Source organism: Homo sapiens, chromosome 3 (assembly GCF_000001405.40).
Source record: "Homo sapiens chromosome 3, GRCh38.p14 Primary Assembly".
In the NCBI taxonomy this organism is placed as follows: Eukaryota; Metazoa; Chordata; class Mammalia; order Primates; family Hominidae; genus Homo; species Homo sapiens.
The window spans coordinates 172,231,968-172,252,681 of NC_000003.12; the positions used below are offsets into that span (position 1 = coordinate 172,231,968).

The window sequence follows — 20,714 nt, forward strand, 5'->3', positions numbered from 1 at the left end:
CCTCCTGGGTTCAAGCAATTCTCGTGCCTCAGCCTCCCAAGGAGGTGGGATTACAGGCGCGCATCACCATGCCTGGCTAATTTTTATATTTTTAGCGGAGATGGGGTTTCATAATGTTGGTCAGGCTGGTCTCAAACTCCTGACTTCAAGTGATTCACCTGCCTCAGCCTCCCAAAGTGCTGGGATTACAGGTGTGAGCCACCACACCCTGCCAGTATGGTCTTTAATTGTAAGAAAATTGAAGAGGGAGGCAAGTAAATCAAGATTTTATGGTAATAACTCTAATCTGATTGAATAGAGAAGTTCTTGATTATAGCAGATTTGTTGTATAATTAAATAGCCGAAAGTCCTTTAAAGATAAATTAATAAAATTGGTCAAATCTGACAAAATACAAATGTCAGTAATAAGCAGATAATAAACTCCTGAAGTTTAACAGACAGCTGTGGAGGTGCAATCAACAGCACGAGCTTTGTTTTCTTAGGTTGAGAAGGGCTGAATTGGTGGACCTTACAGATAACTGTGGACTTAGGGTGCAAAAACAGTGGAATCCTGTCATTTCAGCTTGGTGGTTTCTCTGATATAGTAGGTTGGGGGATGTGGTGTGTTTTGTGCCTTATTTTTTAGTGGGATGAGAGGTAGAGGGATTCTTTTCAACTTGAGAGAAAATATAGACCTTTTTTTAAACTATGAGAAAGTGGATTTAGGTAAGTGGGAATTTAATCTTATCACAGTCATCATCTCCATTATGTAAAAGCACTTGTGAGTGTGATTAGAGTTGAAACTGAAGGAGAACATGGACGTTACCTGGAGAGGCCTTTCTTCAGATTCCATCTTGGCTACTTTCTGTGTAACTTTGATAAATTATTTCACCACATATGTGAACACCTACTTGACGTGGTAGAGGTAAGAATTAGGAGAAATGTTATGTGAGGTGTGGCACTCAGTAAGTAGTAGCTACTACAATGAAAAAGACTGTTACAACAGTTCCAATGGAAGTTTGGCAGAGCTTGCCCTCCTAAATACATATTGAAATCACATGGTGTGAAGGAAAATTTTCCTTCCATTGTATACTGGCCATGGCTCTCTGTTTTTTAACCTCACCATTAACTTTCTGAATAATTTATATGTAAAAATTTCTTAAGCAGATGCTTTGAGTTTTATTTTCCATGCTTCCGTAGTAATTTATGATACATTTGCTCAAATGTTATAGGGAAAACTTCATATTGACCCAAGGATTTAAAAAGCATATGAAGAGAAAAAGTGAAACCTCCAAGTTAATGTTCTATCATTTGGGAAACCACTCTTCTTTTTCCAGATTAACTGTTGTAATCCCAAAAGTTAGTAGTCAAAATAAATATTTTTGTTGTGAGAGCAGAAACAACAAAAATACCGCATTGGATTATTTTGGGGATTAATTAATGGGTCAGTACCTGTTGAAATTATATATATTTCATTTCCCTTAGCCAGGGAAAGACAAGAAATGTATTGAAAAATATATTTGAATTTTGGTTTGGTTGGTCATTTGCCAATGATGAGTGGAGAGCTGGCCAGAAAGCAGACACCTCTGTGGAGAAACAGTGGGGCCTGTTAGGTGGAAGCTGTGCAATACTTTCCCCCCATTTCGCTTAGCCAAGCCAGCTGAGCTATAGACATTAGCCTCAACTGCTTCCCTTTGGTAATTACAGCTGGGGATTAAACCACTGCTTTGTTTCACCTTCAACGTTGTGAAAATGATAACAGAAAGGCACATGGGGGACTGCCCTATGCCCTGAGAAACTGAGATTCAGACCCATTTGGTGGCCAATAAGGAGAATTGGATTCTCTTTCAACACTCTTGGTCCTTCAGAGGAACTGATTTCTCTATAGGAAGTTAGGGAATTGTTCCATAGTGTACATTGTGTGCATGGGGGTTGGTATTGTGTTCCATGGAAAACAGCATAGTACTTAGATATTTCGTTTCAGTTATCAATGGATTTGAAGCAATTTTATTTTTTATCTTGTGGCTTATTTTGTCCAAGGAGCAATTACAGACAGGGTTGGCAATGCTAAATTAAAGAAATGTACCAAGGACATCCCCTCCCCTCAAAGTATTGTGCAGTTTCGTCTTTCTGAGCCTTCTCCCTGTTCTGCATTTTCTCTTTGATTTCTTTCCTTTGTTTCTGTGATCCCGGCATCGTGACATAATAGAACATGGGATTAGTGGGAGGAAACGAGGGCCCAAGCGAGGCTCTACATCCAACTCTCTGTGTGATTTTAGGAATATTAAGTGATTTATTTGGGTGTGTCACTTGTTTACTTGATCATTGTCTGTCTTCCTTTTAGCATTTAAGTCCACAAAGGCAGGGACCTTGTGTGTCCTGTTCAGTCCTGTTCATCACTTGATCTCTAGTTCCTTGAAAGGTACCCAGCACATAATAGGCATTTATCAAAATTTGGCTATCTGGCTGGAGTGATTTTTATCTCATGGAGGGAAGCGGAGAGAGGAAAGTGTTTCAGGATCTCTGGGGTTCTTTTCTAATCTAAAATTAGATTATTCTCCTCTGTTCATATTATTCCTTAACAGGGTATCAAATGAGACTATACGTAAGTTTCCAAAAGCAGTCATTACCAAAGCAGTGTGGCACACTTATTGACATTTAGCATTTTATTGACTAGAATGCTAGTTTTCACCTCTATACAAAAATGATAATTGATTTTCATAGTAGGATTGACACAGTATCACATCCAGAAATGACTTCGGAATCATTAGTGTTAAATTTGCCCTTTCTATTACATTTTATTTAATTGCACAATTATTATAATCTATCTTTCTAAACTAGTAAGTCATATTTGTCATATGTAATAACTTTTTTAAGAAAAATACCTTTTTCTGACCTGTTGGGTAGCAAAACTTTACCAAGGTTAGATGAATTTTATATTTCTACACATTCTTTGAAACCCATTAGGTTCACAAAATTAGAATTATATAATATGGTTATTTTAATCTGTGATAGGTGTTACCTGAATATCTTCAGAATGGGTTCTTAATTCTTTATTGTACCAAGGAACCCACTGACAGACTGGGGAAGCCTTTTTTAAAGGAAAATATAAAATTCATAGGTACAAAGGAGACCAGTTTTTTCAAAACTGGTCAAATTTTTTTAAAAGGTGATACGGTAAGTTTTGTGCTGGTTTATTTGCACATCAATAACATCTAGCATCAGATCTAGTAACTACAATAATTTTGAAGTTGTGATTATTATAAAGATTAATATTTCTATAACACTGTAATATGACATGGAAATGTCACATTTTGTTAGTAACCAAGTCAAAGGTACTGCTAATACTACTATGATTTGCTGCCTACATTTATAAATCAGGGAAATACAAAATTTCAGTTGGATGTTAGTGAATAATAAAGATGTAATTTCTAACTGAGATCATGGTCCCCTGAATTCTGTTCATCTTATTTTGGGGGGATTAGGGTCTGTGTACCTGGTTAAGGCTCTTGCCCCTTTTGGTGAGTAATAGTATGTTTGAAACTTAGAACCATAGCTCTGTTACTGGGAAGGGTCCAGACTGATTTCTTGATACCTCATGTCTAATCTCATAATCTGAGTGGGATAGTACAGTAGTAGAAAGAGCAGGGGTCAGAGTATTCCAAACATGGGCTCTACCCTGTACAGCTACAAGTTGAGTAACCATGAAAAATATTCTAACTTCAGACTTTGCCTTCATTTCTGGAAAGGTATAGCTGTATCCTTCCCTGCAGAGATTGTCTGGGCTGTCTCACAGGTGTGAAAGTCTTGAATGGTAACATGTTCTGTTTAAATGTAAGGAATTATTTTATGTTGATGAATATGCCAGTTGCCTGTTGGGTTAAGTCTGGAAGACCCTGTTCTGTGTATTGGCATCACTGGAATAATCTATCTGTGTTTCCATGGACCTGAGTGTGCCTGAGAAGCTGGGCTGAAAAGATGTGACTGGCCTTCCCTTCTGTGATGGGTAATGGACAGGTACTGCAGATGCCCACTGCTGATAGCTTTATTCACATCTCAGAAGCAGCTCAACTGGGCACAAATAAAGCCATCAAATGTCTACTTACTGTTTGTCACCTAACAGAAAGCCTGTCCCCTAAAATAGCATTTCTGTTTAATCTGAAATAATTATTTGATCCATTTTAGTATCGATTGAAACTCTTGGGATGGAACTTTTTTCACTTGTCCAGTGTTCTTATGTGCCACACATTTGTTTGCAGGATTAGATTTGATTTTTGATTTTTGATTTTTGAATTTGGTTCTTTTTGGTATTTAGGTCAGTAATATACAATCAAGTGTGAAAGAAGTGGAGTGGTATTTCCAGTGAGAGTATCTGGGTATGAATCTTGTCACCCGTTTAGCCCACCTTAGGTTAATTTACTTAATCATAGCTGAAGATTCCTCAGCTAGAATTTAGGACTGTGATGCTGCTTATGTTAGATCTTCTGAGTTTTATGCAAGTCAAGGTCTGTGCCAAGTGTTTTATAAACTATTAAGTGATATACAAATTGTAGGAGTTGCTGTTGTCACTTCGATTCTTATATATTAAGTTAATCAATTGCTGTTTTGCTTTCAGCATCAGTCCCCAGTGCTGTGTTTTTTTGGACCCCTACTTTGAGATGAGGCCTCGTGGTTCTCTGCAGTATCTGGAGAAGCTTAGCCCTCTAACCAGGGAGGGGTTCCTCTTTGCCCATGGGATTCTCTATCTGGGGACAACTCTGGGCTATAGTAAAGTGGAGCTGTAGCTAGCTAACTGAGGGCTCATCCTGGGGTCTCCAGTTCATAAGATGTGTCTCTTGACCTTGCTGGACTTCCTTCTTAATTTGGAAAGTCTTTATTACATAATTCACTGAAGTAGTTGGATCAGAGAGGTACCACAGAGATCTGTATTTGTTTCCATTCTCCTGTCCAACCCTCAGGGGTTACTGTCATTGGACAGTAGCACCTGGAAAGAGCTAGGTGTTCTGGTAAAGTACTCACAGTTGATTTCATTTATATATGACTTAGCTGTGCTCCTTTGCCAGATTTAAGACTTAAATAAGTGTGAATAGAAGCTTGGCTTTATTTCTGAGTGTATAAAAGTGTTGGCATGTACAAAGCCAGTGGAAGGATTGCCGTTTTTGAGAGTGTCTTCTTATACTGATCACCTCTGAAATAAAGCCTGTCGGTAAGATTCATGCCCAGAAATGCTGAAGACAAGCACCAGTACCTTCAGTACCTTCAGCTGTGATTCTCCTGAACAGCAACACTTGATTTGTTAACTGGAGCTAACCCTTCTCCCCTCAGTCTGTACCTTACCTATTGCCTGCAGTTGGTGTGTGGGTTAAAAATTAAGCACCAGCTGGGCAGTGTGTGCCTTACAGGCCGGAGGATTGCTTGAGCCCAGGAGTATTGGGCTGTATCACACTATGCTGACAGGGTGGTCGCACTAAGTTCAGCATTAATGGGGTGACCTCCTGAGAGCTGGGGACCACCAGGTTGCCTAAGGAGGGGTGAATTGGCCCAGGTCAGAAATGTAGCAGGTCAAAACTCCTATGCTGATCAGTACTGGGAACATGCCCATGAATAGCCATCACACTCCAGCCTGGGCAACACAGTGAGACCCTATCTCTTAAAAAAGAAAAATAAAGCACCAATGGGATGGGAAATTTCAGATTTCTAGACATAAATGAGAGTGCTCATAAAAACTCTGGGGACTTTTTGTTCATGAATTAACTGATTAGCGAAAACCTTCATTTTGATCACCTATAAAACAGACAAAATTAGGTGTTTAGACTTAATCACTGGCAAGAACTGTTTGAGACAGACAATTGTAGTTTTCAAGGAACTTCTTCTTTTTCCTGATTCAGAAGAGGATATCTGTTATCAAGCTGTAAGTACTCTGCAGGATAATCTTTTTTTGTTATTATTTAAAGGGCTTTTAGAAACATCACCAGTCACTTATTTTTCCTTTTGAAGACAACAATAATCATGTTCTGTGGCAAAAGGAGCTGGTCCGAAACCTAGAATGATAATGAAAGTTTGCAAATATCAAATATTATTTCATCACTATTAGCCATTTACAGATGTGAAGAGAAATGAGCTTGAAAAGTAGTTTGATGTTTTCAACCACACTTTTAATCTTTAGATTTGAAAACAGAAAAGGAAGTCTGGAGATTAGGGTAATATATTCAATTCTTCCACCATTTTTTAATTTTTGATTTTTATTTTTGAGACAGGATCTTGCTCTGTCACCCAGGTGGAGTGCAGTGGCATGACCTCCCTTGCTCAAGTGATCCTCCCACATCATCCTCCCAGGTAGCTGGGATGACAGGACCGTGCCAGCACACCCAGCAAATTTTTGTATTTTTTATAGAGATAAGGTTTTGCCACGTTGCCCAGTCTGGTCTTGAACTACTGGGTTCAAGCAGTCGCCCGCCTTGGCCTCCTGAAGTACAGAGATTACAGTCATGAACCACCACAGTCAGCCCTCTACTGACATTTTTAAGTCAAGTAGCTTAATCTATAAAATAAAATGTTTGACCACTTAGTACTATAAAACTCTTTTGTTGCCCTAGAACATTCCTTTATCCTAATTTTTCTTTCTTCTTATGGTACTTGGGTGATGGTGGTGAGAGTTGGCAGCACAAGGGGGATTGGCTAGGGTGGGTACAGACCTTACGTTTCAAATCTCTACCCTACCTGAAGAACAAGCTTGCCTTTCCTTTTTTATATTATCTACCATATTAGAAAATGCAGAGGGAAGAGTTAGTGCAAATTGGGAAAGTGAGTACCGATGCATTTGTACTCCTGATTGGTGAGCAAAATAAAACTGCTCAGCCTCCTATAGGATTAAAGTAGAACTTACACTGGAGATGTTTGATCTTTCTGTATAAATGTTTGTGATAAAATCATGCTTATTTAAAATAAGAAGATCAGGAATGATAGATATAAAATTAACTGGATTCAGATTTTCTGAGATTTTAGAATAGGATGTCAGCTATTTACCAGAGTTATGGAGAAAAGTTTTAATAATGACGTGCTAATATTCTTGGCAGATACCAAATCTAAGCAGATATAATTAATTTATTTTTTTTTTTTTATTTTGGCTTGCTTTCTTATTCATTTACTCATTTAACCAACATTTACTGAAAGTCTTCTGTGTGCCCAGTTGCTTCTGAGGGACTTGCAGCTGGGTGGGAGAGACAGATGTGTAGTCCAAGCTACAGGATAGAGGTGCTGAGTGGAGAGGGGAGAGGTGAGCACCAGCCTGCTTGGGAGAATCCTGGATTCTGCCTACCCATCCCCTGAGTCCATGCAGCTTGTTTATATTGACCAGCCTTGTTCTTCTCTTTGTTCATTGTTCGCATGCTCACTTTTATCTGAGACATCTTCTCTTCCTGGAATGACCTGGGATCCCACTTTAGGCATGTTGGCAGCAATAAGAAATTCAGCCTGAGCCTGACTTTCACAGACTCATTTGGTCCCAGTTTTCTGTGTCCAGGCAACTCACCCAGTGTTTTCTGCCACCCTGGCAAACTGGCTGCCAGCACATCACACTACGTATGTTTGTGGGTTCATATGTGTCCACGTGCAGAATCTGCCCATTTCCTGGATCATCCTGGGCCATCTGGGGAAGCCTTTTTAATTTTTTCTTTTGCCTCCTGCCTTTCAAGCTTCTCTTTTGATTCTTGTGGCTTGTAGTCCAACAAGAGTAGAAGGAAAGAGCTTCAGGAAGTGAGGAGTTTATTAAAATTCCTTTGAAGCATTTCAATTCAGTAAGAGGAACTATCTTTTCTGTTAGCTAAGACAAAAAAAAAAAAAAAGAAAAAAAGCAAATAACAACAACCCTCAAAAAAATATAAATGTTTTTAGGAGATCCATTTTAGTTCTTTTTTTTTTTTTTTTTTTTTTTTTTTTTTGGGATGGAGTCTTACTCTGTCACCCAGGCTGGAATGCAGTGACGCGATCTTGGCTCACTGCAAGCTCCGCCTCCTGGGTTCACACCATCCTCCTGCCTCAGCCTCCCGAGCAGCTGGGACTACAGGCTCCCGCCACCATGCCTGGCTAATATTTTTTTGTATTTTTAGTAGAGATGGGGTTTCACCGTGTTAGCCAGGATGGTCTTGATCTCCTGACCTTGTGTCCTGCCCACCTCGGCCTCCCAGAGTGCTGGGATTACAGGCGTGAGCCACCGCGCTCAGCCCCATTTTAGTTCTTATACACAAAATTGATCCTCCTTTACCCAGTTCCGTGTCCTTGAGTGTATTACCTTCACTTCCCTAAGCATCATTCTTATTTCTAAAATGGGGATAACTGTAACTGTATGTGCCTCACAGGATTGTTGGCAGGATTTAGTGGAGTGGTAACATTAATAGTAGTAATTGATGAGTAAGATTTTGTTACATTATGTATCAGGTACTGTTCTAAGAACTTGAACTCTACCTAACTCCTTTCTGGTAGAGGGTATTAAAAGCATAGCAGTATTCAATAAGTATTAGTTGTATCCTGAATCCTTTTCACATCTCTTAATAACTCAGGTATCCTAATTCTCAACAGTTGATTGTTTACCTATTTACTTCTCAATATACAGCTTCTGTATAATTTTCTACATAATGAAAACTTTGATGTACACACCAGTATGAAAAATCTTGGTTCTGCAGCATACCAGTTGCACAATTTAATCATGCTGTGCCTTGGTTTTCTTCATCTAAAGCAGGGATGCCAATACCTAATTCTCAAGTGTTAAGGAAGTTGAATGAGATGGCCCATGTCAAGCAGCTGACAGACCACAGGCACTGACTGATGTCCTTTTCCATCTCCCATCCTGTGCTGCTCCTGGGAACCCTCCATCTTGCTGTTATCCCCAGGCTGTTTCATTTTGTTTTGATGATTCTCTTGGTCATATTTATAAGAACACTAGTATAAGACAAAGATTCTCTCCGTTGCACATTTTGTGCCTTATTCTCTAGCCACTTATGCTTGTTTCTAGGCCACAGGATAGCAAGAATACTAGGCACGTAGAAGATTTTTTGTAAACGTGTACTAAGCTGGATAAAACAGACATGATAAAGAATCAGCCTGGCTTCTATTAGCCATCAGGCCAGATTTCTTCATTAGCCTGAGCAAGATGGCTCAGTGTTTGTTCACAGAGGCTAAACGTATCACTTTTTAAAAGAGAGTTTTTGTTTGTTTGTTTTAAATCAGGCAAGGCTTGTAGAACTTAAGGTAGAAGAAAGTGCTGGATTGAGCCTTTGTAATCTAAGGGGGTGTATTAGTTTAGTAGGGCTACCATAACAGAATACCACAGACTGGATAGTTTACACAAGAGAAATTTATTTTCTTACAATTCTAGAGGTTGGAAGTCCAAGATCAAGGTGTCAGCAGGATTAGTTGGTTTCTTCTAAGGCTTCTCACCTTGGCTTGTAAATGGCCATTGTATTTTCCATTTTCAAGCTGCTAATAAAGACATTCACAAGATTGGGCAATTTACATAGGAAAAAGGTTTAATCAGACTTACAGTTCCACATGGCTTGGGATGCCTCACAATCATGGTAGAAGGCAAGGAAAAGCAAGTCACATCTTACATGGATGGCAGCAAAAAAAAAAAAGAGCTTGTGCAAGGAGATTCCTGTTTTTCAAAACCATCGGATCTCATGAGACTTATTCACTATCATGAGAACAGCATGGGAAAGACCTGCCCCCATGATTCAGTTACCTCCCACTCAGTCCCTCCCACAACATGTAGAAATGCAAGATGAGATTTGGTTGGGGACACAGCCAAACCATATCATTATGTACCTGGCCCCTCCCAAATCTCATGTCCTCACATTTCAAAACAAATCATGCCTTTCCTACAGTCCCTCAAAATCTTAACTCATTTCAGCATTAACTCAAAAGTCCACAATCCAAAGTCTCATCTGAGACAAAGCAAGTCCCTTCTACCTATCTGCCTATAAGCCTATAAAATCAAAAGCAAGTTAGTTACTTTCTAGATACAATGAGGGTACAGGCATTGGGTAAATACAGCCATTCGAAATGGGAGAAATTGGCCCAAACAAAGGGGCTACAGGCCCCATACAAATCCAAAATCCAGTGGGACAGTCAAATCTTAAAGCTCCAAAATGATATCCTTTGACTCCATGTCTCACATCTAGGTCACACTGAGGCAAGAGGTGGGTTCCCATAGTCTTGGGCAGCTCTGCCCCTGTGGCTTTGCAGGGTACAGCCTCACTCCTGACTGCTTTCACAGGCTGGTATTGAGTGCAGATTTTCCAGGCATGTGATGCAAGCTGTTGGTGGATCTACCATTCTGGGATCTGGAGGATGGTAGCCCTCTAGGCAGTGCCCCAGTAGGGACTTTGTATGGTGGCTCTGACCCCACATTTCCCTTCTGCCCTACCCTAGCAGAGGTTCTCGATGACAGCCCCACTCTGCAGCAAACTTCTGCCTGGACATCCAGGCATTTCCATACAGCCTCTGAAGTCTAGGCGGAGGTTCCCAAACCTCAATTCTTGACTTCTGTGCACCCGCAGGCTCAACGCCACATGGAAGCTACCATAGCTTGGGACTTGCACCCTTTGAAGCCACAGCCTGAGCTGTACCTTGGCCCCTTTCAGTCATGACTGGAGTGGCTGGGATGCAGGGCACCAAGTCCTTAGATTGCACACAGCATGGGGACTCTGGGCCTGGCCCACACAACCATTTTATCCTCCTAGGCCTCAGGGCCTGTGATGAGAGGGGCTGCCATGAAGACCTCTGACATACCCTGGAGACATTTTCCCCATTGTCTTGCGGATTAACATTCAGCTCTTTGTTACTTAAGCAAATTTCTGCAGTGGGCTTGAATTTCTCCTCAGAAAATGGGATTTTCTTTTCTATTATATTGTCAGGCTGCAAATTTTCCAAAGTTTTATGCTCCGCTTCCCTTATAAAACTTAATGCCTTTAACAGCACCCAGGTCACCTCTTGAAGGCTCTGCTGCTTAGAGATTTCTTCTGCCGGATACCCTAAATCATCTCTTTCAAGTTCAAAGTCCCACAAATCTCTAGGGCAGAGACAGAATGCTGCCACTCCCTTTGCTAAAACATAAGAAGAACCACCTTTGCTCCACAAGTTCCTCATCTCTATCTGAGACCATCTCAGCCTGGGCCTTATTGTTCATATCATTATCAGCATTTTAGTCAAAGCCATTCAAGTCTCTAGGGAGTTCCAGACTTTCCCACATTTTCCTGCCTTCTTCTGAGCCCTCCAAATTGCTCCAACCTTTGCCTGTTACCCAGTTTCAAAGTTGCTTCCACATTTTCGGGTAACTTTTCAGCAATGTGCCACTCTTCTTGGACCAATTTACTGTATTAGTCTGTTTTCATGCTGCTGATAAAGACATACCTGAGACTGGGCAATTTACAAAGGAAAGAGGTTTAATTGGACTTACAGTTTCATGTGGGTGAGGAAGCCTCACAATCATGGTGGAAGGCAAGGAGGACCAAGTCACATCTTACATGGATGGCAGCAGGCAAAAAAAGAGGTTGTGCAGGGAGACTCCTGTTTTTAAAACCATCAGATCTCGTGACACTTAAATCACCATCATGAGAACAGCACGGGAAAGACTTGCCTTCATGATTCAATTACCTCCCACCCACTCCCTCCCACAACATGTGGGAAGTCAAGATGAGATTTGGGTGGGGATACAGCCAAACCATATCAGCCATCTTCCTTTGGTGTCTTCACGTGATGTTCCCTTTGTGCATGTGTCTTGTAAATCTCCTCTTATATAGATACTGTTGGATTAGAGTCTACCTATATGACCTCATTTCACCTTAATTGTCTACTTAAAATGCCCTGTTTCTAAATACAGTCACATTCTGAAGGTAGTGAGCATCAGAACGTCAACATTTGAATTTGGGGACACATAAGTCAGCCCATGATAGGTGACAGTCTGAGAACCCGGCATAATGATCTTTTCCAAGGCTCTATGCTTCTCTGGAGAGGATATGTGAGTGACAGTTCTGTTGGGTCATAGAGCTGGAAAAAATTTAGATGAAGAATATTTATTCTGATTTCTGAAATCACCACACTTCTGCTTTCTTAACAGCACTTACTAGGACTTAGTCTAATTTTTCTCTTTATATTCTTAGGCTGTGTGGATGAGTCTTACTGTTGAGCACTTATTTTTTCTCCCCTTTGAATATCCAGTCCTTAGCACATAGTATGTGTCAGGAAATAATAGTTGAATTGAATACAGGTGATTCATCTGCCTCTGGACATTCTCACAATTTCCTACACCACAAAAGGAAATGAATTTGTCTTTTCCTTAGTCGTCTACCAAGAATGAAGGCATATTTTTTTTGCCTCAGGTGTTTTGGACTGAATTCTGTCTGATGTCTAAATTCGACTACAGTAATATATTTATTTATGAGCCATCTTTATTAAAGAATGTTACTGCCACCGTTTCCTTAGTTGCCAATTATTTTGTGCATTGTTATTGCTCCTCAGATTTTCTTATTTTGGGGGAGACTTAGGCATAATTTCCTTAGATGTAGATCAAAGCTGAATTGGATAACTAAAATATGTTGCAATTTATGTTATAGAAAAATGGTAAAAATATTCACATATTTTTTATATTTCTACTATTTCAGAATTAATATTTCACCTTTTTTTTTTTTTTTTTTTTTTTTTGAGTCGGCGTCTCCGTCTGTCACCCAGGCTGGAGTGCAGTGGTGCGATCTTGGCTCACTGCAGCCTCCACCTCCTGGGTTCAAGCAATTCCCCTGCTTCAGCCTCCTGAGTAGCTGGGACTACAGGTCCACGCTGCCACACCCTGCTAATTTTTTGTATTTTTAGCAGAGATGGGGTTTCACCATGTTGGCCAGACTGGTCTTGAACTTCTGACCTCAGACAGTCCACCTGCCTCGGCCTCCCAAAGTACTGGGATTACAGGCGTGAGCCACTGCGCCTGGCCAATATTTCACTTTTTTAAAATAAATCTTTTTAATGATAAGACAGGCTTGGGTTTGTCAAGAACAGGTTTCTAAAAGGGTTTCATTATGCATGCACATGTAAATAAAAACCTTTTACAAATCCCACAGAATAAGATACTTTAAAATGGAGCTGTCAAGCAATTTTTATATGTACAGGCAATTTGTGGTTTCAAAAAGCTACTTCAAAAAAAACTTCAAAAAGTTAGTGCTTTTTGATAATTTTTTTTTAAAACCACTTTGTTAACAGGTCCAAAGTTATATGATAAAATGATCAAATAAATTTTTTCGTTATAAATAGTCTTGTTTAAAAGTCCAAAGCGTGCCTCTTAATATTTAGTGAGAGCCCTGTTCTTGTTCTACTTCATCAGTTGTCTATGTTGCTGGTTGACTTTTGGAAGTTTTACACTGAATGAAAGAATAAAGATTGTAAACCTCTAGAAAACAAGTACTTTACTTCTGTGGTCCTTCCAGGATTGAATGAAGGTTCCATGAAAGAGAAACATCTGGAATATGCCTTTTTTTTTTCTTAATAGCTAGTAGAGGGTGAGGAGGGAAATAAGACACTGTAGGATAATGCATGTTTGTGTCAGATCGTAGGAAAAAAATCATGATGTATTTATACTACATGTGCTATTTATATACATGTGCTACCAAACAGCATGCAGCTCTATGTTTTAGACAAAATAGAAGAAGCTTTGATGATAATTATCAATACATGCATGAGAATTTCCAATGTCATGGTTTAAGCACCCACTTCACATACACTTGTAAATTAGCTTCCATGCATTCATAAATGGGGTTAGTGTGATTAGCTTGCCAAGGCCCAGAAGAGATTATATTTATTAAAGATCACATGAAAAGCTGTGTCCTAGGCATCTCACTAGGAATCTTAATTTTAAATAGGTAATATTATCTTATTTATGAACTATTAACACAGTAGAAACATTTATTTTGATAGATTTATTAATGAATGTAAAGATTTCTGTTTTTTTAACATAAGGATTAATGGCCGTTCATTCAATCTAAACCTATTTTGTACACTGAAATATAACATAAACATTGATAGACTTGCCAATCTGTCTTAAGCACTACTTTTAAAATATGAAGCTAAGTATAGTTTTTTGTTGTTATTAAGATGTTTTAGACATGATTAAGTCATTTTATTTTGTCCTATAATTAACCTCCTGAGGTATAATGAGAAATCCATTTCAATATAGAAGGTCAGTTTTGTGCGGTTTTTAGATTTTTTTTTTTTTGTAAAACAAAACTTCCTGTCAGAGTGTGTGCCCGATCGTGCATTTGATTAGATCAGCTGGCATGGCTTCTTGGCAGCCTGGCCCTCACTGCCAGGTTTACTCCGTGTCCACTTCCTTGCAGGGCCCTGACCTAGAGGCCATCTCTCAGCTGTCCCAGCCCTGCCAATTGTTTGAGGTCCCTGAAGCCTTTCCTGATTCTCCCATCTCACGTTATCATTCTCTGTACCCTACAACTTTACCTTTTCATCATGGTATCTGTTGTGTTAGTTATTTCTTTCATTGTGTTTCACCAAAGTTGTTTGCTCATAGGAGCTGGTAGTGTGACGCTGGCCACAGAGGCAATAAATATTGGCATTGTGCTGCCTTCGTTGCTCTACTTGGATGAATTAGAAAACATTCAGAGGAGCTGGGCACGGTCGTGCATGCCTGTAGTCCCAGCTACTTTGGAGGCTGAGGCAGGAAGATGACTTGAGGCCAGTTCAAGGCTGTAGTGTATGATGATCACACCTGCGTGTAGCCACTGCACTTCAGCCTGGGCAACAGAGTGAAATCCCATTTCTAAAAATAAATAATGAACAAAGAATTGGAAAAAGAATGGATAGAGTGTTGATTGGCTTGCTTTTCTCATAGCAGGTTGCTTTTCCAAGCATCTTCTTTCACAACACTCATCATGAGGACATCTTGGGAGCAAAAGTGTCCATACTGATTTGGGGTTACTTAAGTTTTTCTTTGGTCAGAATCCCTCATTTCATCCATATCCTCAGTCCTAGATTAAGTAATCTTAGGGCACACTTACGGCTTCTGACGTTAATGCCACCTTTGTTTCCTAAAGCCCTGATGATGATGGAACTGTGCATGTTAAAGCAGGAAAGGGGAAGAATGTTGTCAGCATATCTAGAAGCCTAGCCCTGGAAAAGTACTTAGGTGGCACAGAAAGCCTCTTTCTGGAAAACCACTGAACTGATAGTTAAATTCAAAAGTCACTCCTAGAATCAGTTTCAGCACACATTAAATTCACTCGTCTTGGATGAAGCCAGTGAAAATTTTAAGACAAAAACAAGATTTATTATCAAATACTGGTCTCTCCAAAAAGTTACATGGGATCAGAATCAGATGTCAATGAATAATTTGTTTTTGTACGTTTTTATAGTTACATGTTATTACTTCTAGAACTCATTTGACTGGTTGAACTAGAGAACCAGAATACAACATGCATTTGTTTTTTTCTATGGTGGAAGAGAAAAGTAAAATTAAAGTGGAAGTTATTAATACTATATATATTCATAGGCTGCTAATATGTACTGCGTTCTTTCCTTTTGTGTTTTTCTTTAGGTGATTGAAGATAGTACTGGAGTCCGCCGGGTGGTGGTCACACCCCAGTCTCCTGAGTGTTATCCCCCAAGCTACCCCTCAGCCATGTCTCCAACCCATCATCTCCCTCCCTATCTGACTCACCATCCACATTTTATTCATAACTCACACACGGCTTACTACCCACCTGTTACCGGACCTGGAGATATGCCGCCTCAGTTTTTTCCCCAGCATCATCTTCCCCACACAATATATGGTGAGCAAGGTGAGTAGATTTTCGTTGGCGTCAGGAGCCGTTGAAACTGATTACAGCGTTTCAATAGTTCAAGGCGGTCCTTTGTTTCTTGTGAAATAAGCATAGTAGAAAAGGATCTAGGTGGTTTGTAAGACTCATGGGGAATTCCTAGCTTCCTTTGTCCTGAATGGTGCCTTGGAAAAATTACTTTGTGGGTTTAGTTCTTTTTCTTTCTTTCAGTTTTCACAAACTCGGCCCCAACCCCCACCTTACAAGATCAAGGAGTAAGGTAGCCACCTTTTATTTTAGAAAAGTGGCAGTGTGACATCGTTCCCATGTCCTGAAAGCATGTTTGTATGTGAGAGTGGCCTGAGGTACAACTGTGGCACATCGTTTCTTTGGTATCCATATGATCTACCAGTTAAAGGGAAATTGAAAAGTGTTTTGTGCCCCATTTCCAGTGTTTGAAGATTGTGAAGTCTCAAGAACCTTTAGGTTTCCTAAAAGGCTCTATGTTGTGATGCTGGCAGAACTCAAAAATCCCCTGGCTGTTGATGTGGCCTTCCTGAACCTGCTTTTAGTTTAAGAGTAGCCATTAGTGCAGCCGCAATTTCACTGATTGTTAGGCAAATACTTACCTGGATATGAAAAGAGCCTCAGAGCTACCAACATTATATCTTTTTAAAGTTTTGACCCTGGTGTTGGTTTAGTCTAAAGGCTTTCTCTATCAAAATGGATACTAAGAAACCAGATAATTGAGGGTAAAATTAGACTTTAGCCTCTAGGACTTTGCAAAGTGATTTTCTTCTGAGTCTGACTATGAATGGAAGCATTTTACTGCTTCAGACATTTATTATGTTGGTTTAGATACATTGTAGAAGAAATGCCTGTTATACCATAGAATGTTTGAGCAAGTTATCACTTTTAAGAATTATATATATATAATTATATAATTTCTATATAATTAATTATTTATTTATAATTATATTTTTATATATATAATTATTCCCTGTTCATCTCACATTATAACTTATTCACAGAAAAAACTTTTTTGAGATGATATTTTAAGTGAAATATATCGTTGTAACTTAGGGATAGAATTTGACTGTATGTGTGTTTTGTTTATTTTTTTTTGTAGTCAAAGAAATTTGACATGATTCAAATTAATCAGGTGCTTTCACAATGTCGTATAAGGGGATGATAGCAAAACATGAAATCAATACTTTGATTTCATAGCAGCATCAATAACTTCCTATCAATTTGATCTTTTTTCCATGCGACACACCAAGAAAACATCAAGTATTGGGGATATACTATGAAAACATTTGGATAAAAACTGAAAAAATTTAGTTAGCTGTAATTTTTTTAATGTATTCAGTGCTTTGACTCAACATGCATTAAATAATTGAGTGTTTCTTAGAGCTTTCTGGCTGTATCTGAGCTCTGATGACATGAAAGGCCTTGGTGACTGACTCATTGCTTGCTGGTATATGTCTGACTTGCCTTATTTTAGCAGTCTGTTAGTAGGATGCCACATGGTTACTGTTTTGTAAATGCTGTCCTTTGCAATTTTAGGCAAGACAACAGTATGATTTAAATCGTCATTAGAGTTAAGCAAAATTGTAGTCTCTTCATTTTATGGTGTATTTGGGTCTAATTCCATTAAAATAACACAGAGCAATAATGTATGCAAATAAAAATGCCTTCATTGATTTCAAATTAAAGCAGTAAAACAAAATCCCTTCCCTTTATAAATAAGCCATTGATATATTCTTTTACCTTAGTTCTTAGTGTGCATACCTAAAAGCAATTTAAATATTAATTTTCTAAACTATAAGAGTTTTAAAAGTTTTCAACATGTCTGAAAAGATTATTACTGCCCATAGTGAATATGTTAAATCTCATGTGTAATACATCGTGGTGTTTAGAACATTTACTATCCTTCTGGTATATTTTGACATAGTTTCTTTGGATACACACTCTCTGAATAGGATTATATTTGTTTTGACACGTTCTCTAGTGCAAACTGGTTCTCTCATGAAGATTTGTTTTTTAACAAAACAACTCTTGTTTATGCTTTAGCTATGTTAACAGTAAGAAACAGTGGAGCTTTACTGTTGAGTAATTGAGACAGCAGTTTTGTTAAATTATGCAGGGTAACCATACATTTCTGTTGTGCCTGTGACAGTCCTAGTGTAGGTCTCTTGCCTTGAAGAAATTATTGATATTCCTTCCTTTTCGCTCTCAGAAGTGTTCAGATTTGGATGGTAATTTATATTGTCACTCCATAGAAGAGGTGACCCTTTTTTCTTATAAAGATGTAAGGACCCAATCTTTATGTTACGCATTGTCATTTTTACTGATACCTAAAAATAATTTTGAACTGATTTAAAAATTTAAATTTAACATAAAGTTTTCCCCTTGAGATCATAAGATTGCTTGCAGGCTTCTATTTTCTTTTGAGCCACTTTAAAATGTGCATAGTAAAGTCAGGTGACATTCTACATTTGTCTTGCCTTCTATTACTCCAAAAGAGAAGTTTGAGACCACAGCTTATTATGTTTGGCACCAGATTTCAGAGATGGCTTTTCTTTATCCTTATACTTCCTCCTTGAACATTTCCCCTGATTCTGTGAGCTTTGATTATTTTAAATGGAAATATGTCATCTCATTATCTTAGTTAAATTTGTTCAAATGTTGGCTCTTTTGTATGCCACAGAAAACTTTGACTGCAATATACTTCCCAGTAGAAATACTATTCTGTCTACAGGGATGAGTAGACTTTTAAAGTAGCTTGATTCTAAGTACATGTTTAATAGGGGTATTTTATTTGTTCTGACTTTTTCATGTATTGCAACTACTGAAAACATATTGAAAGGTAAAAATCAAACTCAGTTATAAATGCAACTAGAATATGAGCTCTTTAGGGATAACAACCTTGTCTTCAGTATTCTCTGTAATATAGGAATTTTTCTGAACACACAGTGTAGTTTTTAATGATTGATTATTCCTTGATTGGTTAGAAACAAATGGGAATGCTTTAAATGTATATCATGTATATGGCATTTTCTTTTTTCTTTTTCTTTTTGAGACAGAGTCTTGCTCTGTCGCTCAGGCTGGAGTGCAGTGATGCAATCTCAGTTCACTGCAACCTCCGCCTCCAGGGTTCAAGCGATTCTCCTGCCTCAGCCTCCTGGATAGCTGGGATTATAGGCGCCTACCACCACGCCTGGCTAATTTTTTGTATTTTTAGTAGGGATGGGGTTTCACCATGTTGCCCAGGCTAGTTTCGAACTCCCAAGCTCAGACAGTCCGCCCACCTCGGCCTCCCAAAGCGTGAGCCACTGTGCCCAGCAGTATTTTCTTAAAAAATATTTATTAGACTCTATTTAGTAATACTTTAGACTTCCTTTATACTTTAGACTTCTTCAGGAGCCAGATCATTTGACCATTTAATAATTTATTATTGAAAATGTAAACTGAGTTTGGGTTTATCATAATCATCCATTTTAGAAATTATACCATTTTATGGAATGTCAACCTACATCACCCGAGAAGACCAGTACAGCAAGCCTCCGCACAAAAAACTGAAAGACCGCCAGATCGATCGCCAGAACCGCCTCAACAGCCCTCCTTCTTCTATCTACAAAAGCAGCTGCACAACAGTATACAATGGCTATGGGAAGGGCCATAGTGGTGGAAGTGGCGGAGGCGGCAGCGGTAGTGGTCCCGGAATTAAGAAAACAGAGCGACGAGCAAGAAGCAGCCCAAAGTCGAATGATTCAGACTTGCAAGGTAATACTCAAGATGTTTGCCATAGAGTGAATTATCAAGACAGAGACATCTCAAATGATGTTTCCACATCTTTTACATGAGAATATTATTTCATGGTGGTTGGTTGTTCTGCTAAGAATATTTGAGTAGACCTTCTTTGATCTATTTCTTGGTAAGGAAATAATATTGCATTGTTTATTTTTTATTAATACTTCATGGCAGAAATACTACATTTTGGTCACAGATGCCATGCAACTTTGCACTTAATAACAAATATTTGAAAATCTTTTCATGTTAGCCTACTTCTGTTGTTTCACTCTCTGAATAGACAGATGTGGAAGAAATCCAAAGATAATTTTTCTAAAAGTGTAGGCTAGTTTAAATCTCAAAATAATTATACCTCATAAACCATACGTAATTACTTCCTTTCTGTAATGAAATCTATCATTGAATCACAGAAATATGTTTCTGTTTAGTTTTGGCATCAGTTATTGTCTCATACCACCTTTTGCCTGTGAATTAAGTGTTCAGAAACTAAGAATAAGATGGAAGAATGAGGGCCACCACATATAGGTAGAGAAACATCAACTCAGAATGGCATCTGTCTTTTTGTAGATGAATCTCTTGGGTAGATCAGTTCATTTGGAGGAAGGTTTATGTGTTTAAATGAAGTTTTGGAGGTAGTTTAGAGAGAACCTATTTTGATGCCACATAAGGAAAAACAGTGGCTATTTCTATAGGCATAGGGAAGAATGACTTAAGTGAGGCAAAAAAGGTAGCATTTGGATAAGGTAGGTGAGTTTATAGATATAAATGACTGGAAAACAAAGACTTGAACAACTTTTAAACATAAGATCAATTATTTCAAGTAGATTCCCTTTTTCATTCACAATCACATTCTCACAGACACAGTCCCAGTTTCTACCTGACTGAGATGCAGTAAGGAATCTGATTATAACACTCATTGATTATAACACTCATTGAATTTATGGATTCCTTACTGCATCTCATTCAGGTAGAAAAAGGGACTGTGTCTGTGAGAATGTGATTGTGAATGAAAAAGATGGAATATGTGTATTTTTGAGTGTCTATGGAAGAGCTTCTGACAAGAGAGAGGAAGATTAGGTAAAATGAAATATCGCCGTCGGCATTTCCCCCTAC

At 38.7% G+C, this 20,714-nt stretch overlaps 1 protein-coding gene and 1 pseudogene across 11 annotated transcripts in view; both read left to right on the plus strand.

Moving 5' to 3' along the window:
- Positions 1 to 20,714, plus strand: part of FNDC3B (fibronectin type III domain containing 3B) — a 362,092-nt gene that overhangs the window by 192,390 nt on the left and 148,988 nt on the right. For 7 of the 11 annotated variants that reach the window (NM_022763.4, XM_017007064.3, XM_024453717.2 and 4 more), the window contains 2 exons: positions 15,566 to 15,809; positions 19,293 to 19,574. In NM_022763.4, the coding sequence (NP_073600.3) occupies positions 15,566 to 15,809; positions 19,293 to 19,574 (526 nt within the window). The remainder of the gene's footprint in view (positions 1 to 15,565; positions 15,810 to 19,292; positions 19,575 to 20,714) is intronic. The other 4 variants (XM_017007062.2, XM_047448756.1, XM_047448755.1 and 1 more) reach the window with 1 other exon arrangement.
- On the plus strand, positions 5,380 to 5,630 carry RN7SL141P (RNA, 7SL, cytoplasmic 141, pseudogene; annotated as a pseudogene).